Source organism: Homo sapiens, chromosome 3 (genome assembly GCF_000001405.40).
Source record: "Homo sapiens chromosome 3, GRCh38.p14 Primary Assembly".
In the NCBI taxonomy this organism is placed as follows: domain Eukaryota; kingdom Metazoa; phylum Chordata; class Mammalia; order Primates; family Hominidae; genus Homo; species Homo sapiens.
In genome coordinates, this window is record NC_000003.12 from 14,130,027 (window position 1) to 14,153,548 (window position 23,522).

General features: G+C 52.4%; 2 protein-coding genes and 1 long non-coding RNA gene across 17 annotated transcripts in view, besides 5 other annotated features; 2 read left to right on the plus strand and 1 right to left on the minus strand.

Moving 5' to 3' along the window:
• TMEM43 (transmembrane protein 43) overlaps nt 1-13,654 on the plus strand; it is an 18,629-nt gene extending 4,975 nt beyond the window's left edge. For 2 of the 8 annotated variants that reach the window (NM_024334.3, NM_001407280.1), the window contains 10 exons: nt 796-930; nt 1,554-1,648; nt 2,520-2,569; nt 2,840-2,909; nt 3,713-3,783; nt 4,744-4,865; nt 5,132-5,206; nt 5,781-5,882; nt 9,154-9,271; nt 11,567-13,654. In NM_024334.3, coding sequence (NP_077310.1) covers nt 796-930; nt 1,554-1,648; nt 2,520-2,569; nt 2,840-2,909; nt 3,713-3,783; nt 4,744-4,865; nt 5,132-5,206; nt 5,781-5,882; nt 9,154-9,271; nt 11,567-11,769 — 1,041 coding nt within the window. In that variant the 3' untranslated portion in view covers nt 11,770-13,654. Of the gene's footprint in view, nt 1-795; nt 931-1,553; nt 1,649-2,519; nt 2,570-2,836; nt 2,910-3,712; nt 3,784-4,743; nt 4,866-5,131; nt 5,207-5,780; nt 5,883-9,153; nt 9,272-11,566 lie in introns of all 8 variants that reach the window. The other 6 variants (NM_001407274.1, NM_001407276.1, NM_001407275.1 and 3 more) reach the window with 6 other exon arrangements.
• Nucleotides 13,721-14,408: an enhancer, noted in NCBI's record as "H3K27ac hESC enhancer chr3:14185247-14185934 (GRCh37/hg19 assembly coordinates)". NCBI's record gives its function as "activates a minimal SCP1, AML or CMV promoter by ChIP-STARR-seq in naive H9 embryonic stem cells {active_cell/tissue: H9 hESC(naive)}" and the evidence as "EXISTENCE:reporter gene assay evidence [ECO:0000049][PMID:30033119]".
• Nucleotides 13,803-14,097: a silencer, noted in NCBI's record as "tiled region #1736; K562 Repressive non-DNase unmatched - State 14:Gen5'". NCBI's record gives its function as "represses a minimal TATA promoter and a strong SV40 promoter by Sharpr-MPRA in K562 cells {active_cell/tissue: K562}" and the evidence as "EXISTENCE:reporter gene assay evidence [ECO:0000049][PMID:27701403]".
• Nucleotides 14,754-14,863: an enhancer, noted in NCBI's record as "active region_19499". NCBI's record gives its function as "activates an Ori minimal core promoter by ATAC-STARR-seq in GM12878 lymphoblastoid cells {active_cell/tissue: GM12878}" and the evidence as "EXISTENCE:reporter gene assay evidence [ECO:0000049][PMID:35858748]".
• XPC (XPC complex subunit, DNA damage recognition and repair factor) overlaps nt 15,121-23,522 on the minus strand; it is a 33,455-nt gene continuing 25,053 nt past the window's right edge. For 7 of the 8 annotated variants that reach the window (NR_148951.2, NR_148950.2, NM_001354729.2 and 4 more), the window contains 6 exons: nt 22,309-22,390; nt 18,788-18,922; nt 18,536-18,705; nt 17,882-17,975; nt 17,264-17,353; nt 15,121-16,133 (listed from right to left, as the gene is read on the minus strand). Coding sequence is in view for 6 of the 8 variants with exons in the window: in NM_001354729.2 (NP_001341658.1) it covers nt 15,915-16,133; nt 17,264-17,353; nt 17,882-17,975; nt 18,536-18,705; nt 18,788-18,922; nt 22,309-22,390 (790 nt within the window). In the remaining 2 variants the exon portion in view is untranslated. Of the gene's footprint in view, nt 16,134-17,263; nt 17,354-17,546; nt 17,807-17,881; nt 17,976-18,535; nt 18,706-18,787; nt 18,923-22,308; nt 22,391-23,522 lie in introns of those variants that run through there. The other variant, XM_047448864.1, reaches the window with a different exon arrangement.
• Nucleotides 18,527-19,211: an enhancer, noted in NCBI's record as "H3K27ac-H3K4me1 hESC enhancer chr3:14190053-14190737 (GRCh37/hg19 assembly coordinates)". NCBI's record gives its function as "activates a minimal SCP1, AML or CMV promoter by ChIP-STARR-seq in primed H9 embryonic stem cells {active_cell/tissue: H9 hESC(primed)}" and the evidence as "EXISTENCE:reporter gene assay evidence [ECO:0000049][PMID:30033119]".
• On the plus strand, nt 19,536-23,425 carry XPC-AS1 (XPC antisense RNA 1). Its single transcript, XR_001740603.2, has 2 exons — nt 19,536-19,576; nt 19,816-23,425. It is a non-coding gene; the product is annotated as an XPC antisense RNA 1 (long non-coding RNA).
• Nucleotides 20,829-21,329: an enhancer, noted in NCBI's record as "H3K27ac hESC enhancer chr3:14192355-14192855 (GRCh37/hg19 assembly coordinates)". NCBI's record gives its function as "activates a minimal SCP1, AML or CMV promoter by ChIP-STARR-seq in primed H9 embryonic stem cells {active_cell/tissue: H9 hESC(primed)}" and the evidence as "EXISTENCE:reporter gene assay evidence [ECO:0000049][PMID:30033119]".

Genomic DNA, 23,522 nt, shown 5'->3' on the forward strand with positions numbered 1-23,522 from the left:
CCCTTCCTTTGTTCCTTTCTTCCTTCCTTCCTTTGTCTCTCTCTTTCTCTCTTTCTTGTTTGTTTGTTTCTTTCTTTCTCTCCCTCTCTCTTTCTTTTTCTCCTTTTTTTTAATAGGGCCTCATGATGCAACAGTATATTTCTAAATCAATTTAGCAGCAGTTACAGGGCCATCTCTCAGTGTCCTGGCTTGGCTCTCCGTCCTCTGAATCAGTCTCCGTGTCCAGGGCGCACTCACATGTTCTGACTGGCAAGGTCTGGGTCCCATAATCTGACCAGGGTTCAGATAGACTCAGGTAAACCACATGGGCTGAGTAGGAGAGAGGAGAGCCAGGCATGGAGGCTCAAGCCTGTAACCCCAGCACTTTGGGAGGCCAAGGAGGCAGGATCGCTTGAGGTCAGAAGTTCGAAAGCAGCCTGGGCAACATAGCAAGACCCCATTTCTACAAAAAACTTAAACATAAAAATAAAATTAAAAAAAAGAAGGCAGAGAAAAATGGGGAGAAAGGGACAGGCAGGCAGAAACATCAGCTGTTCCCACCACTGGGGCAGTGCTAAGATTGGTGGGGGCTAGTGGGAACCAATGGGGCAGTAGGAAGAAGTCTCCCTGGGAAAGCAGGAATCTGGGTTCCAGTCCTTACTCTCCACTTGCTAGACCTCAGTTTTCCAACTGTACGGTGGGGAGATGGGTCTCAGCGCTCCCGGAGGCCCCATCCTACCCTAATACTTTGCAACAAGCACAGTCATGCTGAGCCACCCCTGAGCTGTTGAAATCCCCACTCCCCTTTGCTCCCAGGGCCGCGCATTGAAGACGGCAACCTCATTGGCTGAGGGGCTCTCGCTTGTGGTGTCTCCCGACAGCATCCACAGTGTGGCTCCGGAGAATGAAGGAAGGCTGGTGCACATCATTGGCGCCTTACGGACATCCAAGGTAGGTTTGGCAGGGGATGCTGACCTGCCAGTGGCTCGGGGCTCATCCTGGATGTTGTCTGGCTGAGGATTTGAAAGCATGGGCCTTGGAGATGGTCACACATGGGAGTGATTCCCGACTTTACCACTCAGCAGCTGTGTGGACTTGTCTATCCTGAGTCTCAGTGTCTTCGTGTATAAAATGGGGACGGTAATGGTTACAAGCTTGTGGCCAGCCTTGAGGATTTGGTGAGATTAGGTAACTAACGCCTTGGTACAGTGGCTGGCACTCAGGGAGGTGCTCTCATGACTCTGATGACCATGTGTGTCCAGTGCAAGGCCACAAAACTACCCTGGGCACCAGAGCTTTCCTGTTATTTGAACACCCTGTACGCTGTTGGCACCATGCCATTGGGCCATGCAGCCCAGGCCTGTACTGTGAGGGTCACAGTCACAGGCACTGTGTGTAAAGAACCTGGGACAGGGAGTGTCCTCGATTCTCCCCTGCAAAGCAGTGTAGGGCTCTCCACCCTTGTCCCCTTCTCTATTTCTTCCTCTTCCAGTCCAGCTTCCCCTGAGCCAGGCTTTCTGGGCTGACGTGAATGTTATCCTTTATTTTTTTGGTTTCTTTGATTCTGTTTGAAGCTTTTGTCTGATCCAAACTATGGGGTCCATCTTCCGGCTGTGAAACTGCGGAGGCACGTGGAGATGTACCAATGGGTAGAAACTGAGGAGTCCAGGTGAGCTGTTGGGGTGAAAACTCTGTTGGGGTAAAGGAGGAGTGAAGTGTAGGTGTCAGGATAACATGCAGATGTCTTTCATTTTGATACCTTTGAAACTCAAGTATAACATCTTCCTATCAGAAAAGTGTGAAATGATCCCCAAATTAATAGCCAGTGATTTGGAAGTGGCAAAAATCCAGTGAAGAGTGGCTCCAGGAGGAAAGGGGGATTGAGTTGCTCCCACATCTGGGAAGTTCCAGAGATGCACAAGCTTGAAGCATGACTTGGAGCAGGCCTGAAACACTGTCATTAGGATCAGCATGTCAACCCCGAGACCCCACTGCATCTCTCTGTGTTCAGCCTTCCCATCAGCTGTGTTGGTCCCATCTTTGCTCTACTTACAGCTTATCGTTTCTGACAGGAGTCCCAGGGCAGGTTCTCATTGATCAGGGCTGGGGTCACCTGGAGCTGGGGGTGGGTTCAGCCCCACCTGAATCATATGGACTGTGACCGACAGGTGGGGAGGTGGTGGGAGGAGCAGGAGAAGGGCAGCTTCAAGAGGCCCCCCGCAGGGCTGTCCTGGAGCAGAGGATGCAGCCAGATCTCTGAGCCCAAAGGGCAGGGCTGGGCCCCTTGGTGTAAGGCCAGTGCGGGCAGATTTCAGCTCAGGATGGGAGAGCGCTTTCCTCCAGGTAGCGCCTTGGAGGGCAGGAGCTGGCTGTCTGTCAGGAGTGAGTGCCCTGTCTTGGGGCTGGTGTAGAGAAGGCATCTGCCGTATCTGGGGAGTCTGATCTGGTAGCCCTGAGGTTGCTTCCTGCTCAGATGCTTAGAGATTAGACTGCCTGGGGCGACGAGGCTAACCCCCGTGGCTGCTTTGCTTTCCCTGCAGGGAGTACACCGAGGATGGGCAGGTGAAGAAGGAGACGAGGTATTCCTACAGTGAGTGCTGGGCCCCTTACGTGGTCTCTGCCCATGGTGGGGGCCCACAGTGGTGGCTGGACAGCAGGGCTGTTGGTGGGGCCATGGGAAGGATTCAGCACCAGGCATCAGGATCCCTGGGTGCAAGTCTTCAGAGCCCTGCTTTCCCACCCATCCATTGAGGCTCCCTGACCCACCCCTTTGGCTGTGAGATAGGAGGAGCTGGGCTGGTGGGTCTCAGCCGCGTGCCACTCCTACCCGGGCTCTGAGTTGATTCCTCTCCCTGAGCAGACACTGAATGGAGGTCAGAAATCATCAACAGCAAAAACTTCGACCGAGAGATTGGCCACAAAAACCCCAGGTGAGAGCCAGGCCCAAGGCCTGAGTGCAGCTTTGTCTACACTGGCAGGTCTCCAGCCTCAGTTTCTTCATCTGAATAACAGGATTGAGTTAATCCTGCCTCGTGGGTTGAAAATGTGGGACATGGGTTTGAGACCAAGCCCTGTGCTGGGCACCAGGAACACAGAGACTTGTCTCCCCTGACCCCAGACAAGCTCCCCGCAAACAAGTCACAAATATAAGGCCTGCACTAAGCGTCTAAGGGGATTTGCACACACGGGGCCGGGGAAGCATTTTGTTAATGGTTTGCCATGGGTGGGAGGACAATCAGGACAGGCTTTCCAGAGGCAGCGGCATTTGTTCAGGCTTCTCAGGATTTCAGCAGAGGGAGGTTAGCTCCACGGCATGCCAGTGGTGAGGCGGGCATAACACTTGGGTGTGGCTAGAGAGCAGGCCTTGTTCAGCAATGGTCTGGGCTGTGCCAGTAAGATGGTTGGGATGGAATGCTCTGGGAGGGGCTAGTGAGGGGTGTAAAGTCCATGCAAGATACATCTGACAGCAGTGGGTGGGGCAGGACAGGCTGGCAGGGGTCTAGGCAAGAGGGTAGGAAGCTCCGGGGAACAGGAGACAGAGTGAGGGTGCTCAGCCCAGGGGAGGGGGCACAGGGCCCCTGGGGGTGGACAGGACAAGATGTCTGCTGCGCCTGGGCTAATCTGGACTTGCAGGAACCCCCGGGTGGGGACCCTGCCCAGCACAAACAACCCAAAGGGACCCGGGCAGCTCCCACACCGGTGCCCATCTCTGACAGCTTCCTCTCTCCCACAGTGCCATGGCAGTGGAGTCATTCATGGCAACAGCCCCCTTTGTCCAAATTGGCAGGTTTTTCCTCTCGTCAGGTAAGTCTCAGGCCTCTCCAGAGGAGCTCGTGCCAGAAGCACAAGGCCCCCCTAGGGCCGGAGCTCCCAGTACTCAGCCTTCAGAGGGCTAAAGGCACAGGATCAGTCTGCACCTTTCCCAGCACCATGCTTTGGGGGCCAGGGGAAGGCGAATCCCCAGGAAGCAAGGGCTGACGTAGAAACCCCCACCCCACTCCATCCTACCAGGTTCCTCTGAAATCTGGGTTGTTCCAGAGAATGACTCAGGCATGCATCCTCACCCTGCTGCGTGCCGGTGTCTGCTGAGTAGACTCTGCTGAGACAGTCCTTCCTCAAGCAGACTCCGGCTAGTAGTAGACATGTGGTGGCTCAGTGCTCTCAGCCTAGGGCTCCCCCTCTCTGAGTTCCACCTGTCCCAGGAAGGCACTAGCTTATCACAGGCATCCCCCATTGACTCCAAAGAGAAGCTTGCAAGGGATAAGGTGGCACCATGGGCCAGAGTAACCCTGGGGCTCTGTTCCTGGGCCTGACCCATGAAGGTGGGAGAGGATACCAAGGGCCCAGATAGTCCTGGGGAGGCTGGATGATCCTGGGCCTGGCCTGGCCGCTTTCTGTGTGCTTTGTTGCTGGATGGTGCCTGTGTGCCAGCTGGGCCTGCCCTCAAGTAGCTCTCAACCCAGGAGGTGAGTCAGGCTTGGACGTGGATGGCCGTAACCTTGATGGAAGGGAAAAGGGCTAAGGCCACTCCCAGTGCTGTGGTCACTCTGACTTGGTGGGAGAGGGCACAGGGAAAGCTTCCTGGAGGAGATGGTCTAACCCAGGGGAAGCCGTGGACGAGACAGAGTCAGAAAGAGGCACTGCAGGTGGGAGTGCCACGTGTGCAGGCTCCAGGGGTGCAGTGGAAGGGGGTCAGGCCAGGGACTTTGCAGATTGAGGTTTTCACCTGGTCCCCTGGGTTTCTAACCACTCTGGTCCCCTCAGGCCTCATCGACAAAGTCGACAACTTCAAGTCCCTGAGCCTATCCAAGCTGGAGGACCCTCATGTGGACATCATTCGCCGTGGAGACTTTTTCTACCACAGCGAAAATCCCAAGTATCCAGAGGTGTGCGGAGAGGCCTGGGCTCTCCAAATAGGAGGGTCAGGGCGCTAGGATCAGGTTCCTGCGCCAGGCAGATTCAGTTCAGTCGCATGCACAGCTGCACTTGGCCAAGTGCAGCTGAGTGGGAGAGGCCCTCTGGGTGACGGCACAGCCTGGGCACGGGTGTGGAGGTGGGAGAAGAGCCTGAGGGGCGTAGCCGAGGCATCCTGGACCTGGGCCTGGGCCAGCTACTCCGTTCCTCACTCTCCCTGCTTCTCTTCCACCCCCAGGTGGGAGACTTGCGTGTCTCCTTTTCCTATGCTGGACTGAGCGGCGATGACCCTGACCTGGGCCCAGCTCACGTGGTAACCTGGCTTCCCAGGGGCAGACACTAAGTCAGAGCCTCACGACTTTCCTGGACACAGACACCTTGGTCAATGTCAGGAGCGCTTGGACCCCCTTTTCCCTGGGGAAAGGCACACTCTCGCACACACTCTCAGCCAGGCACGCTTCTGAGCAGTTTCAGAGCTCCCATGTCCCCACAGCCATCCATGGACCCCACGTTAAGAAGGGCAGCTCAAAAGGGGTCTCATAGTCGCACCTTATGACAGGTGTTCCAGTCACACACAGACCCTCTCCCCAAGCCCGTTTTGATCTGTCAATAATTGGTCTTGCGTTCCTGGCCTATGTGCAGTCCTGCCCCATCCCCTGCTCTGCGCACTGCCCAAGAGCTTTGAATGCCTGGAGCTTTGAATGGAGCAGCTCAGCCAGAGCTGCAGAGGTGGATGCATCCCAGATGGATGTATAGAGAGAGAAGCCCCAGGGTTTCTGTGCTCACTTCCCCAGCCGGCACCCAGTCCCGGGAGGGTGGGCCATGGCTCTCGTGGGCGTGTCTCCCGCTGGTCACCCCTCAGCTCTAACACCAGGTCCTCTGACCAGGTCACTGTGATTGCCCGGCAGCGGGGTGACCAGCTAGTCCCATTCTCCACCAAGTCTGGGGATACCTTACTGCTCCTGCACCACGGGGACTTCTCAGCAGAGGTGAGTGCTGTGCCCTACTCGTACGGTGGAGGAACAAGCATGTCCTTCCTTCCTTCCAGTGGTTATTTAATAAGATCACACTACCAGGGGTCATAGCCAGTGAATGAGGCAAGAAGAAGAAATAGCGGAATGTTGAGTATGCCTCATCAAAGTGTTTGACCAGGAGTGTTTCAGATTCCAGATTTTTTTGGATTTGCAGGTATTTGTATATACATAATGAGATCTCTTGGGGATGAGAACCAAGTCTAAACACAGAATCTATTTATGTTTCATGTATACTTTGTACACATCGCCTGAAGGTGATTTTATACAATGCAACCCGTCACATGGGGTCAAGTGTGGGATTTCCACTAGTGGCGTCATGTTGGCATTCAGAAAGTTTTGGATTTTGGAGCACTTCAGCATTTGGGTTTTTGGATTGTGGATGCTGAGTCTGTCATGAACCCTCAGTGTGCAGGACTGTGCTAGGCACTAAACTCACTGTGCCTCACAGACTGTCCGGTAGAGGAGTGAGAGTGACAGAAACTCGTAAGTACTGATGCATCGTGCCGAGTGTTGGAAAGAGGAGAACAGGTGCTCTGATACCAGTGGACGTCAGAGTAGAACATCCGTTTCTGCAGTGATCAAGCAGGGCCTCTGACAAGTGAGTTTTGCTGACGAGAAGGGGTTAACCCTAGAAGAATCAGTGATCAGTCAGTTCCAGCAAGAACAGCCCAGTCTGGGCACGAAAGGGTTCACCTTCTAAGGGGGCACCCGGAGTGCTGTGGCCACAGCCCAGAGCGGGGAGAGGGAGTGGGTGGGGGGGCTCCACCAAAGTCTGTGTCCTTCCAGAACATTAGGAGGGCGGGGAAGGGTTTTGGGCCTCAGCTACCTGAGTATCCCTCTCCCATTGTAAATAGGGAGGGCTATGCCTACCCCGGGTCCCAAGGAGAAGGGGTGCCAAGATGTGCTGATTAGTTCAGTTCTGTGCCTTAAAAGTTAGCCTGTCTTCTCTAGGCAGGCAATCCTTCTCTGCAGCAGAAGAATTGAGTCTTTAGTTTTTCTGTTGTTGATGAACACAGGTATCCCTGGTGGGGCACTCTATACCTGCCCTAACCAGGACTGCTGGGGTTTTCATTCCAGAGTGGCCAGAAAGGGTCAAGGCAGCAGACAGGCATCAGGGGTTAGCTGTGACCTTTTGTTCCTATTATTAGATCCTCAGCAGCCATCTGTCCCATTAGCCTCCAGCTTGTGGTGGTGCTTGGGCCTCACCAACTCCTGGTACCTGGCCAGGGCTAGGGTGTGGTCAGGCTGTTGCCCAGGAGCCCAGTTACCAACCTCAGGGTAGGGCTGCCACCTCCCAGCCTAGAAGGCCATGAGTCACCCTTCCACCAGCAGCTGAGGGTCCCCAGCGAGTTTCTAAAATTAGGAGGCCCAGTCCAGGCCTTGCTCTCTCTCCCAGGGCTGAGGCCCAGCTCACGCAGCCGCCCCTCCAGAGAGGAGTGGATGGGGCCCATGGCTTAGGTAATGCCCCAGAAAGGAAGGCCCTGCAGTGCAGATGCTCAGGCGGCCTCCTTACCCCCTGGGTCTCCTGCTGCTTAGCAGCCCCAAAGCCCTGTCTTCCCCCAGCCCAGCCCCCACCCCCACACAAGGTCTGGGGTCTCTGCCAAGTAGAAAAAAGGCCCAGAGCCAGGCAGGCAGCTCAGGGCAAAAGTCAGGATGCCCCGATTCCAGTCCCAGGGGCAGGAGAGTACAGCTGCCCAAGCAGGCACACTGCAGACGGCCCTGGCACTGCCTCCCACCTGCTACAGGACCTTGAGCTGGTGCTGATCTCTCAGCCTGTTTCCTCATTTGTGAAGGGGAAGATGTTTAAGTACTATTAGTAATAGTCACATCATCCCTAACTGGTTTGGTCATTGAGGATTATTCATTCATTCAGCAAGTTTTCATTGAACACCAGGTACTTCACAGACATGCTCCCTGCTCTTGGAAATGTAGCGTTTAGTTAACTGCTTGAGGTGAGACCTTGGGCACATGACTTATTCTCTCAGAGCCTCAGTTTCATCATCTGTAAAGTGGAGGTAAGTATTCCTACCTCACTGAGTGAATTTGAGAATTAAATAATACTTGTAAAACACTTAGGACAGTATCAAATAAATGGTGAGTGATAAATGTGACCTGTTTTTGTTGTTACGGACTCTGAGAGAGGGCCCGATTCAGATCAGAGGGTCAGGGAAAGCCCTCTGAAGAAATGGGGTTCAAGCAAAGCTCAAAAGAATATGTAGGAAGCTGGCCAGGCATGACTGCAGGCAATCGTTGTAGGCAGAGCAAACCCACGCGCAGATACACAGGCGAGAGGACACTTGACCTGGACTGGGGACAGCAGCCAGCAGGGTCAGGGCACTGGCAGCAGGGTCGGTGTCCGGGGGGTGTGGCAGGGCTCTGGCAGGTGACTGTGTGGAGAACACAGAGTGGGTGATAGAAGCAGGGCCAGTGAGGCTCCTGCGGGCAGACAGTGGTAAGAGACTCGGGAATATGTGGCCTGGACTGGATGGGGTGGTAGGGGAGGAGCGAGCCATGTCTTTCCCATAGATGTGAGTGGGTGGGTGGGTGTGCCATGTGCTGAGATGGAGAAGGCGCCAGTGTCAGCACTAGACAGGCTGAGATGTCAAGTGGAAATGTCAAGGAGGTGGTGGAGGTGGTGGGAGCTGCAGGGCTGTGAGGCCCGGGAGAGGGCCAGAGCTGCAGCTTTAAATTGGAGGGTCACGGCATGTGGAGGCCAAGGAAGCAGATGGGATGTCCGGGGAGAGAGTATGGACTGAAGCAGCTAAAGAATTGCAGCATCTAATGGACAGGAAGAGGGGCAGCGACAGCGATGGAGCCTGAGAAGGAGGGTGCAGTGTCCCCAAGCCATGTGGAGAGGTTCTGAGATTAAACAGATCACACACATAGCGCAGAGCATGCTGCCCAGCAGACATCCTCCAACCTGCTCAGGGGTGGTGGGCAGGGTCCTGCTCATTCCAGGTGAGACCGTGGGCTGAGGGCTCCAGGTGCTGGCAGGCTCTGAGCTGAGGAAGGCCCGTACGTTCCACAGAGATCTCATGCCTTGCCCTGTGCTCTGCCAGATGGGCAGAAGGACTTAGCCCTATAGGAGGCTTGCCCCCACTCCGTCTGGCCTGTTCAGAAATGGCCAACAGCTCCCGAGTTGGTACAGCCCCCTCAGGACCTGCCCTGCCGACTGGGTACGCCACTGGCCCTCAGCATCCTGACCTGCCCCCACCTTGTCCTGCAGGAGGTGTTTCATAGAGAACTAAGGAGCAACTCCATGAAGACCTGGGGCCTGCGGGCAGCTGGCTGGATGGCCATGTTCATGGGCCTCAACCTTATGACACGGATCCTCTACACCTTGGGTAGGTGTTGGGGTGGGTCACTGCCCTCCCTCCTGCACCCTGAAAGGGCCTCCTCTGCCTGTCGCATCATCTCAGCCCTTCCAGCCTGATGGGATGGCCCTTGTGCAGATACCAGGCATTTGGCTCATCTCTGTGTCCCCGCTCCATAGCCTTGGGATGAGGGAGCAGAGGAAGGCAGGCTTGAGGGCAGGAGCTGCCAGGGGCCAGGCTGGGTGGGGCCAACTCTGGGGCACTGGTCTCACTCCACAGCCTGAAGGTTCGTCCATCTGCTGGCTCGATCATTTGCTCATTCCTTTGATCCACAATTGAATACCACATGGGAGCCTGCCAGACCTGCATTTGAAATCTGTCACGTCCAAGCTCTGGATGCTTGGCCGTTCCCTTCCCATCTCAGCTTCAGTCACCTCACCCCTTACATGCAGAGTTTTATGAAATGTGGCAAATAGGAAACACCCAAAACTCTCATGCTTCCTTCCTCACTCCAAAACCTGGGCTAGATTTGGGCAGCCAGCAAGTCTGGAGCATGAAGGAGAGTTCTGGGCCACTCCTTGACCTGAGGTTGGCACCAGTGAGCCCAGTAGGAGACCTGTGGCCCAGCGTGGTTCGGGATCTGAGTGCCCAGGGTGACTAAGTGCGTTCTGGGCCCAGGAGGATGGGGTTCCTCGGAGGACTCTCCATCCAAGCCTTTCCCTGGTGTGTGTCCCTTCCAGTCACATGATTGCATCAGTCTTCTCTGGGTGCCAACAGAAACCTCTTCCCCACTCAGCATGCACAAGTCAGAAGAGGTCTGGCTGCACATCTTGGGCTGTCTGAGCTGGGGGGACCACCTCCTTTGTTTACAGTTGGGAAAACAGGCCCGGGAAGGGAAGGACTCTCCCTGAGCCTTTCTTTGGACAGCTGAATTGTGCTCAGAAAGACCAGTGACGTGGTGGGCACATTAGCGAGAGATGAGCATTTAAACGGAATCCTCTTTCTTGCCTGTGTGACCCTGGGGAGACCAGTTCCCTTCTGGAGCCTTGGTTTCCTCGTGTCTGTCTCAGTGGGCCCTTCTTTGGATCTCTGATGTCTGTGATCCCAATTCACTCTACGTCTGGAATGCGCCAGACTCAGGACAGACTTAGAGTGTGGAGGGACCCCCAGGGTGGGTGGGGAGAGTTGGGAGCGCAGCAGGGAAGCACACAGTTCCCCATGCGTTTGATAAATACCAACGTGTGTAAGACTCCACAGCTAGAGACAGACAAGACTTAGAGCAACAGCTCAGAGCCCAGGCTCTGGGCCCATACGGTCTTGAGTTCAAATCCTGGTTCTGGCACTTTCTAACAGGAGGACTGGTGGTGAGTTTCTTAATTCCCTGAGTCTCAGTGACCCTGTGGGTAAAATGGAGTTAAGAAGAGTACCTACCTTACAGGGTGGGCATGAGTGCTTCATGAGATGGTGCACATGGTGCCTAACACAGGCAACGTTCAGAAACATGAACTTTGCTTATTATAAGGGCTGAGTAGCAGTGCTGTATGGGAACAGATCAGGATGAGGCCAGGTAGTGGCTTGCAGGGTGTGCTGCAGGCATGGTGGGGCACCAGGGCTTGCTCTGCAAACCCAGTGATTCCAGACCATTGGTGGCCTCCTGGGAACTGAGCGAAGATTCCCTGAGTGGACATCAGCTATGGAATGCCAACCTGGAGAGGTCACACAAGGCAAGAATAGGGTAATTCCTCATGAATTTAGCTGGATTCTGGGCTTTATCCTATTGGACCAATAGTCTGTGAGATTCTTGAGGAGAGGCCAATGCTTAGGCTAATTTATTTCCTCTAGCACCTGCTGGTTCAGTGCTGGGCACATAAATCATTAGTAACAGCCTGCTGCATGAATGAACCAACACCTCTAGGAATGGCTGAGAGGCCCAAATAGGCACCTTCAGGAGGCTCCACCCACAGCCTCTTGTATGAGTGTGCAGGACCCAGGTTATTTCTAGCATTACAGGCAAATGTCTTTATACTGGCCTCAGACTACTCTCCACATAAAGTATTAAAGTTTACAAAGCACTGCTACATCCTCTCCCCTGGATCAGGGTAGAGTGGGTGGCTTAGGCAATGTGCCCAACCACGCAGCTCATAGCAGAGGCTCCTGTGCTCCCTTAGCTTTCAGAACGAAGCTCCTTGCCTTCCACCCACTGATCCTCTCCCCTCCTCATGCATGTAGCAACATGGGCCCATCCTCATCTAGGGACAGGAGAGATCTGCTGAGCTGGTGAGGTGTAGAGCAGGTGGCACCTCATCACCTTTCTCCTTTCCACAGTGGACTGGTTTCCTGTTTTCCGAGACCTGGTCAACATTGGCCTGAAAGCCTTTGCCTTCTGTGTGGCCACCTCGCTGACCCTGCTGACCGTGGCGGCTGGCTGGCTCTTCTACCGACCCCTGTGGGCCCTCCTCATTGCCGGCCTGGCCCTTGTGCCCATCCTTGTTGCTCGGACACGGGTGCCAGCCAAAAAGTTGGAGTGAAAAGACCCTGGCACCCGCCCGACACCTGCGTGAGCCCTAGGATCCAGGTCCTCTCTCACCTCTGACCCAGCTCCATGCCAGAGCAGGAGCCCCGGTCAATTTTGGACTCTGCACTCCCTCTCCTCTTCAGGGGCCAGACTTGGCAGCATGTGCACCAGGTTGGTGTTCACCAGCTCATGTCTTCCCCACATCTCTTCTTGCCAGTAAGCAGCTTTGGTGGGCAGCAGCAGCTCATGAATGGCAAGCTGACAGCTTCTCCTGCTGTTTCCTTCCTCTCTTGGACTGAGTGGGTACGGCCAGCCACTCAGCCCATTGGCAGCTGACAACGCAGACACGCTCTACGGAGGCCTGCTGATAAAGGGCTCAGCCTTGCCGTGTGCTGCTTCTCATCACTGCACACAAGTGCCATGCTTTGCCACCACCACCAAGCACATCTGTGATCCTGAAGGGCGGCCGTTAGTCATTACTGCTGAGTCCTGGGTCACCAGCAGACACACTGGGCATGGACCCCTCAAAGCAGGCACACCCAAAACACAAGTCTGTGGCTAGAACCTGATGTGGTGTTTAAAAGAGAAGAAACACTGAAGATGTCCTGAGGAGAAAAGCTGGACATATACTGGGCTTCACACTTATCTTATGGCTTGGCAGAATCTTTGTAGTGTGTGGGATCTCTGAAGGCCCTATTTAAGTTTTTCTTCGTTACTTTGCTGCTTCATGTGTACTTTCCTACCCCAAGAGGAAGTTTTCTGAAATAAGATTTAAAAACAAAACAAAAAAAACACTTAATATTTCAGACTGTTACAGGAAACACCCTTTAGTCTGTCAGTTGAATTCAGAGCACTGAAAGGTGTTAAATTGGGGTATGTGGTTTGATTGATAAAAAGTTACCTCTCAGTATTTTGTGTCACTGAGAAGCTTTACAATGGATGCTTTTGAAACAAGTATCAGCAAAAGGATTTGTTTTCACTCTGGGAGGAGAGGGTGGAGAAAGCACTTGCTTTCATCCTCTGGCATCGGAAACTCCCCTATGCACTTGAAGATGGTTTAAAAGATTAAAGAAACGATTAAGAGAAAAGGTTGGAAGCTTTATACTAAATGGGCTCCTTCATGGTGACGCCCCGTCAACCACAATCAAGAACTGAGGCCTGAGGCTGGTTGTACAATGCCCACGCCTGCCTGGCTGCTTTCACCTGGGAGTGCTTTCGATGTGGGCACCTGGGCTTCCTAGGGCTGCTTCTGAGTGGTTCTTTCACGTGTTGTGTCCATAGCTTTAGTCTTCCTAAATAAGATCCACCCACACCTAAGTCACAGAATTTCTAAGTTCCCCAACTACTCTCACACCCTTTTAAAGATAAAGTATGTTGTAACCAGGATGTCTTAAATGATTCTTTGTGTACCTTTTCTGTCATATTCAGAAACCGTTTTGTGCCTGCTGGGAGTAATTCCTTTAGCAATTAAGTATTTGGTAGCTGAATAAGGGGTCAGAACTTCTGAAACCAGAGATCTGTAATCATCTCTATTGGCCTGGGGTGCCTGTGCTATAAATGAGTTTCTTCACATGAAAAACACAGCCAGCCCAAGATGACTTATCTGGGTTTAGGATTCAATAGTATTCACTAACTGCTTATTACATGAGCAATTTCATCAAATCTCCAAACTCTTAAAGGATGCTTTCGGAAAACACGCTGTATACCTAGATGATGACTAAATGCAAAATCCTTGGGCTTTGGTTTTTTTCTAGTAAGGATTTTAAATAACTGCCGACTTCAAAAGTGTTCTTAAAACGAAAGATAATGTTAAGAAAAATTTGAAAGCTTTGGAAAACCAAATTTGTAATATCATTGTATTTTTTATTAAAAGTTTTGTAATAAATTTCTAAATTATCTTCTGGTGTGGGACTTTAACAAACATCCTATTTTTAGTTTCAGATTTTTTTTTTTTGGCATTCTTTCCAAAATGTCTGTAAAGAATTCAGCCATAGGATTTATTGAGAACTGAATTTTGTGGAAATCTGAGCTTTCAGTGCTTAAAATAAGTTAATTTTTTTTTAAGGGCAACTCAGTATCTAGCACTCAGAAGTCCACACTGAAGCCCACTTTGTTTTGGCTTGATTTAAAGTGAATGACTCAGGCTTCATGCATCTTCAGAATGTGCTAGAAAAAGTGGAAGGGGCAGCAGTGTGCTCCACTGCCAGAGGCATCCTGAGTTGACACGGGAGACCTGAGTTCTGAGCCAAAGATTGCTACATACTGGCTGTGATGTTGGGTAAATCAACGATTTGAGTCTGTTCCCTCATCAGTACAATGGGAATAACACTTGTCCACCTCACAAAGTTGTTGTGAGGGCCAAATGAGACAAAGCCCATAGAATGCCTGACACATGAGGCATTAATTTTTCATTCATTTTGCTTCCTGTTCTGAAAGGCGGCTGCTAACTGCCCACTCTGATGCTAGCAGTTTGCTTTATTTTTTACAAGCACGTGAGTGAGAACTTTCCCAAACCTACTCTTCTGTTTCTCAGAACCTACTGTTTCATTTAAATAATGCCTCCTTGTAGCTGACATATGCCTGAAGAAGTTATTTCTGCAGAGACATGGCAATGCCATCATCTCAAAACCCCAGAAAGACAAGCGTGGTGGTGCATACCCATGGTCCCAGCTACTCAGGAGGCTGAGAGGATTGCTTGAGGCTGCAGTCAGCTGGGATCACACCACTAGCTGGGATCACACCACTGCACCCCAGCCTGGGCAAGAGTGGAACCCTCCCTGTCTCAAAAAATAATTTAAAAAAAAAAATAACAGAAAACAAGTTGCCTCTATAGGAGGGCCGAGCTCTGGTGAGGAAGTGTGAGACCAGTTTCCATAGCAACCCCAGTCTGTTTCTCAACAAGAGGTTCCAGCCAGCCTCTTGCCACATATGAGTCATAACTCAAGTGTTTTGTTTGTTTCCCTTGGATAAAAGTGACTCCGATTTTTAATGGCTCCTCTCAAAGATTAACATCTCTTCACTAAATACAGAAGAATTCCATATGTAATGAATTTCCAGCCTCCATGAAAACAAAATGGACTCTTTCATGCTGTCTCAACATATGAATACATTGCTCTGTCACCTGGGTGTTATTACCGACTTAAATCTGAAAGAAGCTGGGCACGGCAGTGGTGTGTGGGTGCCTGCAGTCCTGAGGAGCTGGGACTGTTTCCCGAACAATGCCTTTCCACCACACACGGTGGTTGTGAGGGCCAGCTGAGGCAAAGCCCTCAGGAAGACCACTCAAGCCCAGGAGTCCAGCCTGCGCAAGACAGTAAGACCCCTTAAAAAAAAAAAAATCTGAAAGAAAATATAGAGCCAAATCTTTAGATAAATGCTTTATTATTTTCTCAAAATGTTATAAAAGTCATTTCTCCTTAGTACAGAGAGCTTTATACATTTTATCTAGTAATGAATACAATCTAGTTTAACACTCATCTATTTTACTAACATTTCCTTAATTTTCAATTCGTATTTTTCCTTTTCTTTCCTGATTTTAGCTTTTTTTAGGCTTCTGTCACCACAAAATGTTACTTGGAAAACTAGATCCCAGCAGATGACCTGTACTTCTCTGCTCTCTCCCCTACTGCAAAGAGGCAGTGAGGGCAGCATTAGTAAGCCTGACTCAGGGGAAGGTAAGTGGCCTGCAGAGAAATGGTCCTAGGTCCGCAACCGAGGCGAGTGAACTTGTCGGACAGATGAAGACTCTAACTGGAAGAAACGATCAGCGCATTCACGGATGCACCACCATCCAGAAATCTCCCGGTGGCTTCCATACAAAAACTGATGTTTCTAAAGATGGAAAGAACAGGTCTAGGAGGCAGAAGAGTATCTCCTAGCAAAGTGTTCTGTAGCTCAAAGGGTGAGTGGGCTTTGGTAGCAAAAAGCTTTGAAGGCTTCACCCTGGGTGAATCTGACAAGGGCTGGAGCCAGACGGGACCTGCAGCACCTCCTCAGCTTGGCCTCGTCTCCCCTGACCCCGCCTCCGTGCATGCTGCCTCAGTTTGCCTTCTCAGCAGAGAAGCCCCCACCACCAGGGGCTGGGCATGCCCAGGGCAGGTGTGGGGCCTGTAGTGGGGCAGCAGCAACTGGTGGGTGCCCCTCTAGTGGGCGCTCAGCTCACAGCTGCTCAAATGGGAACAGGTGGGAAGCTGCTGCTTTCTTTTCCCTTTTGGTCTTCTTGGGCCCACCCTTCAGCTTCTGCTTTTCTTCATCTTCTCGGTTTTGAGGCCAGGAGGCAGCCAGTATCCTGGCCGCTTCTGCTTGAGAGCTGGTCCCCTCCTCTTCATCAGAAGAGAGTCCACCTCCTGCATCTGTGTGGGGAGCTGCTGCCTCACTCTGGACAGGTGGCAGTGGTGGGAGGACACAGGCGAGGGTTAGTAATCAGATACCAGGAAGCCCCATGAAGAGGCAGCAAGTTCCCAGCCTGCCCTAAGCTGTGTAACTCTGGGAGGACAAGGGCATGGGACAGGGCAGGGAGAGAGCCCAGACCCTTCTTACTGAGCCGTCCCAGCCTGGGGTGCATCCAAGCAGACACTGGAGCACCTGCTACGAGCTGAGTGCAGGGGAACACAAGGATGATGGCTGGGCAGGAAGCTGCCCTCTAGGAGCACACTGCCTCATCTGGGGATGCCTGTGATTCGTGCCTTGCATTTGCTACCTCATTTCTGGACCAAAGCACATGATGTCTTGAACGGGCAAGATGCACAGTTCAGCCCTCGGAGCCCTAAGATCTGAGGCGGCACTCCCTGCCAGCTGGGATGGCTAGGGAGGGTTTGGATGGAGAAGGCGGCAAGGAGCTGGTCAGAACATAAAGTCAGATGAAGGGCTTTTCTCCACCAGAGGGACTGGAATGAGGAGCGTGACAAAAAAATGTTGAAAGGCAAACAGGCAGCACAGAGGGTTGGAGAGAGGGAACAAAACATGCCAGAGCAGTTTCTGCTGTGTCTGACACAGCACTGACTATACCATGTAACTGGGCCTAGGGTCCATCTGCCCCAGGGAGGGGCCCCCTTGAGGGCTGCATGTCAAATTCACACCTGTGTCCAAGCCTGGCCTGGCACATGGCAGGTGCTGTGAGAGAGGTACTGAGCGGGCCACTGCAGGCCTGCAGCATGGTCACAGGCACTGGGAACACTGGAAGGCGGAAGGGTGCACCAAATGCAGGACACTTGGCCCTCCCTATGTGTTCAGCGCCAAATCAGACCCATGGCATTGCTCATGTGGACAGTAGAAACGGGGACACTGGGACAGGGCTTGGGGCAGAAGAGCCAGCTGAGGCCTCACTCCAGGGACACCTTTCCCAACAAGGTAAAAACAAGCGGCCTTAGAGACAGAAGACTGAGGTGTCCTAACACAAAGCTATCCCTGACTTGAGGCTGGGGCAGAATCTGGGCCAGGCCTTTCTGAGCTGCATCTCCAAGAAACTGACCCTGAGCTTGTCTTCTCTGCAAAGAACCTGCACTGACCTTGGGCCCGTAGCGACGCTTCAGCCTCTCCCTGATGAGCAGACCTTTGGCCAGCAACTTCCAGTTCCCTAGAGCCCGCTTCTCCTTTTTCTGCAGGCAAAAATGAAGTGGGAGAAAAGTGTTAAGCACTGACATTTTCAGGAAAAATATTAAGATGGAAACTGTGAATGTAAAGACAGATATATACACCACTTTAGAATATAGCCTCTCCTTCACACCAAGTCTCACTTCCAAAAAATTGATCTGATTTACAAAGTGATATACTATACCTGAAAGCCACAAAAACAGATAACTTTTTAATCGTTACTGACTCCAAAATCTTTAGTGGGTGAGGTCTTCCAGAACCTGGACACAGGCAATTCAAGACAGAGGCAGGTGTGGGCAGCAGGGGCAGTAGACCCCAGAGCCCGGACCCAGGCTCCTCAGGGACAGTGATAGTCTGCGGGGTGGGCAGGAGCCTGCTGTATTCAGTGCTCGCTCCCTCGGGTGCCTGCCATGATGTCAGAGAGGGCTGGGAAGAGCCTGGGAGCACACGGAGGCGGCCTGGGGAAGGAAGAGGCCACCCGCTGAGTGTTGCTTCCCGCTTCTGCTGTCCCTCAGTCCTGCATATGCGCTTACCTCCTTCTCCTTCCTTTCAATGACTGCCTGCTCATTTTCCCAGGCAGTCAGGAGCACGTCTTTGAATTCCTCGCAGACGATGTATCCATCAGTCCTGTGGGGACACAACGCGATGTCAACCCTCGAACCTGCTGCCTGCTCTGCCTCTCCTCCCTCCCCAGTTTGTGGAAGACAGTGGGCCACATCTGAGCACTAGGGGTCCTGAAGGATGTCGCGGGTCAGCCAGTGTCCCACATCCTCCGTGCAGAAGGCAGGCCTGTGGAAGCTGGCACTGCCTCTTCCTCCCCAGATTCTGCCGAAGAAAGCTGGGGTGAAAGCCCCTATCCAGCCTCACCCATCATGGAACAGAGCTCACTAACCAGGCAGCTGCCGGGGAAAGATGCTGACTGTTTTTTGCTCACTAGCCTGTGAGTCCCTAAACCTGGGAAGAACGTTTTAATCCAGCATTACGATGCCAGTTTCATTGGCTCCGTTCCCTCTGGAGGGAAGCCAGAATTGGTAAAGCACTGACTTTGCAAATCCAGTGTAACATCCTGAAAATTGGAGCCACCAGGCCTCAACTCCCAGCAGCCCCATGCCAGCTTTCCATCCCCATCTCTGGAGCCACCCCTCCCCATCCCTGTGTTTAGCCTCCATCGAAGGCCCCTCACGCACACGGGATGGGAGTAGCCGCCATGGAAATCAAAGCCAGTGATGGCCTGGACACAGTCGATGTCCAGCTTGCGGGCCACGCGGTGTAGATTGGGCAGGTTCAGCTGGACACAGCCAATAGGCATCATGCTGGGCAGGAAGAGGTACACATTCCCAAACTCGTTCCGGGGCACCTGTGTCGGGTGAGCAAGTCAGCATTTGGCCAGCAGGGGAACAAGGCGGCCTGGTCCTGAGCCCTTCTGATGCTGCCCTTACCTTCCCGTCCACGGCCACTGGGGGCTGATACTCCTCTGTCTGCCAGTAGCCAAACAGGCCCAGGTCATTTTCTTCCCGCAGCTGGGGCTCAGCAAGTCGGGCTTTCCGAGCACGGTTAGAAAAGCCTTTCACCATCTGCACCAGAGGACACGGCCACCGTTTACAACAAAGGCATCCAGTTCCTCAGCACCGGGCCAGGCACCATGCTCAGTGCCGCATGCCTGGTACCTGGTGAACCCTCAGAACACACCTACCAGCTGGGGTGCTTTTTCTCCCTTTTTTTTTTTTGAGACAGAGTCTCGCTCTGTCGCCCAGGCTGGAGTACAGTGGTGCAATCTTGGCTCGCTGCAACCTCTGCCTCCTGGGTTTAAGCAATTCTCCTGCCTCAGCCTCCTGAGTAGCTGGGATTACAGGTGCCTGCCACCACGCCCGGCTAATTTTTGTATTTTTAGTAGAGACGGGGGTTTCACCATGTTGGCCAGGCTGGTCTCGAACTCCTGACCTCAGGTGATGCACTCGCCTCAACCTCCCAAAGGGCTGGGATTACAGGCGTGAGCCACCGTGCCCGGCTGCTCCCCTTTTCTTACTACAAGCACTAGCTAACATTTATGGAACATTCTCTGTCCCAGACACTATTCTCGGTGTTTTTTGTTTTTTTATCCCCCTGAGACGGAGTCTCACTCTGTTGCCCAGGCTGGAGTGCCCTGGTGTGATCTCAGCTCACTACAACCTCCACCTCCCGGATTCAAGTGATTCTCGTGCCTGTCTCCTGAGTAGCTGGGACTACAGGTACCCGCCACCATGCCCAGCTAATTTTTATATTTTTGGTAGAGATGGGGTGTCACCATATTGGCCTGGCTGGTCTCAAACTTCTGACCTCAAATGATCCACCTGCCTTGGCCTCCGAAAGTGCTGGAATTACAGGCATGAGCCACTGCGCCCAGCCTATCTTCAGTGCTTTATATGTTATTATTTAATTTTTTCAACAAACCCACAAGGTAGGTCTTATTATTGTTTCCATTTTACAGATGAACACCACAGACGGGGTAAATGATTTGCCTAAAGTCACACAGCTCGTAAGGGCCAGAGCCCACACTTTCATCCACTAGCCTATATTCTGTGCTGTCATCACTGATAGCAGTGACTGAGACTGAGAGACAAAGTCACTTAAGAGCTGATGGCTGGTAAGTGACAAGAACCAGGATTTACAATTCAGGTAACTGTCCATCAGTAGAGCCTGTGTCTCAACATATAACCTATGTCTGCTCACACGCCCTAGAAAGCACTGACAGTTCAGGACTCCCAGTGTGCTCCCCAACAGCGTGCAGTGGCCAAGGCCAAGATCTTCCCTGGGGAGTGAAGTGGTGAGAGGGGCGCAGGACAGGCAAGGACAGAGTCACGTAACTCTTAGAGGAGTCAGGCATGGGCGTGCGGCTGAGGGCTGGCCCCTGGGCCTCAGCATACAGACTTCCTCTAGTGCAGGGGCCCACAAGCTTGTTCTGTAAAGGGTCATGCGTGGCCTCCATCACATATTCTTTATTCTTCTCATTCTTATAACCCTTTAAAAATGTGAAAAGCCATTCCCCAGGTTGGGGGTGGCCTGCGAGCTCTCATGTCCATTCCTGCCATGATCTCTGGGCGCACCCTCTCTGTCACCACTTCAGGGACAGAGGGACTCTGAGTTCTGACAACCGTCCCTTTCTGAGAAGCCATTCACCCAGCACACTGTTCAGTAAACTTCCACTGGGATCTCCTGGAGACCAGGCCATGACCCAGTCATGAAGGAGGGATGGAGCGAGGACAGTCTTTGCTCTTAGGAGCTCAGGCTCCTGCAGGGGAAGAGACAGAGCTACGACTCAGCGTGATGAGTACAGGGTGGAACAGGAGCTCAGAGGCAAGCCATTGCCCAGCCCTGAGGACAGTGGAGGCAAGAAAGGCTGCTCAAAACAGGTCCCGCCTGAGCAGAGGCTTAAAGGGGCAAGGGGTTGCCCAAGAGAACAGGGCTGGACCCCACAGGGCACAGAGGTGGGAGAACACTGGGACCTGGGGCCTAAGTCCTCTGGAATGCAGAGGCAGTGAGCACCAGAACATCACTGTGCACCATGGGGAGGGTGCGGGACTCAGACTAAAGGCGCTGGCCAAGGTGGGACAAGGATGGCCAAGATGCACAGAAAGAGCCTAGTGACTGACAGGGGAATGGATTCAGGCTGGGAAGGAGGCTGTGGCTGTTGCCCAAGCAAAAGATACTGAGGCAGGAGCTGGGGTGGTGGGGATCAGAACAAGGGGTGAATTTGAGAGATTTGGGATTCCAGAACTGTGCTACCATGACAGCCACCAGTCACGTGTGGCCACTGCACACCTGAAACGTGGCTGGTCTGAACTAAGGTACAGAAAGTCAAATACACAGAAGATTAGAGAGACTTAGGAACAAAATGGATTTAAATATCTCATCAACACTTTAAAATATTTCTTACTGCTGAAATAGTATTTTAGATATATCTGGATATATTTTAATGTTAAAATTCCACCTGTTTTTGGTTTTTAATGTAGCTACTAAAAAATTTAAATGTGTGGCTCACGTTACATTTCAACTGAACACTGCTATGCTGGTTCCAGCACAAAAGACAGGTGAGATGGTGCAGAGAAAATCCTCAGCAACCCTGCAGGCCCAGGCAGGGGGCATCGCCCACTCCAGCCTGCTGCTGGCAGTGACTGTGACCAGCGCCTGCAGCCTTTCCCACTAAGCGGAGGCCCCTCCACTCCCCACTCAGCTTCCCGGAGTCTTGCAACCCCCAAGGACTCCTGGGGTCTGATGAGAAGTAAATGGTCTCTGTGATCAGCCACTGTACACTTCCGGTCGTACGGAGCTGTGTGTCCTGTGAATAGTCTCTGTGGGACCTCGCTCGGTTCGTGTTCCTCAAGAGCAACCAGCCTAACAGTGCCGCAGCACAGTGTGAAAGGAGCACTGGCTTTAAGGCAGAGCCTGGGATTCTCACCTGGGCTCTGCTCTGCCATTTTACTAACTGTGGGGACTTGGACAAGTCACTTGCCCTGAGCTTCAGTTTTCTCATCTGTAAAATGGGCATCATAATGCCAATTCCTATGGCTTTTGAGGCAACAGAGATCACATACATGCAAAATGCTCAGTGAACTGCCAAACAGAAGGGCAATCTGACTGGAGAACGTGCTGCTATAAAGCAGGGCTCTGACCTCCCAGGACCCAGTAACTCAATTCCAACCTGTAGAACCTTTGAATTCACAACAGGAGTCTGAGGCCTACTTTTTGGCCTAGATTTCTTTTGTGTTTTGGAAGATCCATTTCTTACAAATGTCTTATTAATAAGACAATTTAAATGTTTCTCTCCTCCTTGAATCCTGCTCAAGCCGGGAAAGTGAGACATTTCTGATCAGGATCCTGGGCAGGACTGGGAGGCTCATCATCACTTCTCTGCCCCCAGCTCTCCCGCTCAGCTACAGGCCTGTGTCACCACTCCCCACAGGGACCCCCCAGCTCCAGTTACCTTGTAGGGTACTTCTCCAAGCCTCACCACTCTTGCTTTCTTCAGCCACGTGTCCCTGGAATGCAGAGTGTGCACACAATCCCTGTGGAACCAACACAGGACACAAAGGTAACTCAGTCCACAGCCCCACTGCGGGAATGCGGGACAGTGGAGAGCGCAGCCCTGCAGGCTCCCTCCTCAGGTTCAGCCACCCTGGAGCAGGCCGAGCTCCTAGGGGGCCCAGAGAAGCTGTGCTAGGCAAACAGCCTTGAACGTGGACTGCCTGTCTTTTGGGGGATGTGTCCACTTACAAACCCTAATCTGCAGCCTTTGTGCCTTGCCTCCACCACTCCTCCCCTTCATAGGTTTTCTTCTCCTCTGCTGTCCAGAGCCTGTGAGAGCTCCAGCTGCAGACTATCAGGATGGGGTAAAGGCCGCTGTGCGCAGGCACACTCACGTTTACTACCACCACCAAGCGAACACCTGCTGAGGCTCTGATCTGCTGTTAACACCATGTGGGGGAGGGAAGTGTCCAGGAGGGGGCAGTGAACCCAAAGGAAGGCTGCAGAGAAGCCAACTATAATAAGCTAATAAGCTATCACAGAATCAAGACACCTGCACATGGAACAGTCAAATGATTCCTGCAGGCAAAGTTCCTCTGGCTTCACTCTTCCTCCCGAGCTAAGAGCTCACCAAAGCCGTGCAAATCTACTTTCCAATGAGGCTCAACCCCTCCCTTGCCAAGCCATTTTTAATAAGGCACGCCCATCTCATTAGTTTGCACCCCCTTCACTCTGTCCAGGGAGCGGCTCCAATGAGCAAGGGCACCCCATTTCCTCCTAGTGCAGGTTCAGACCCTTACCCACAGAGGAATCTGAGGCTGAATTTCAGCACAGCACAATGGATGGAGGTTGAACCTTGCCTGTGCCACTTCCTGGCTGGGCCACCTGGACAAGTCACTTTACCTTCCTGAGCCTCAGTACAGACAGTCCCCAAAGTCCAGTGGTTTGATTCAAGATTTTTCAACTTTATGATGATGCAAAAGCAATATGCACTTGGGAGAAACTGTGCCTCAAGTACCCATACAACCATTCTCTTTTTCATTTTCGGTATTCAATAAACTACATGAGATATTCAATACTTCATTATAGGCTTTGTGTTAGACAGCTTTACCCAACTGTAGGCTAATGTGTTCTCAGCACGTTTAAGGGAGGCTCAGCTAAGCTATGACCCAT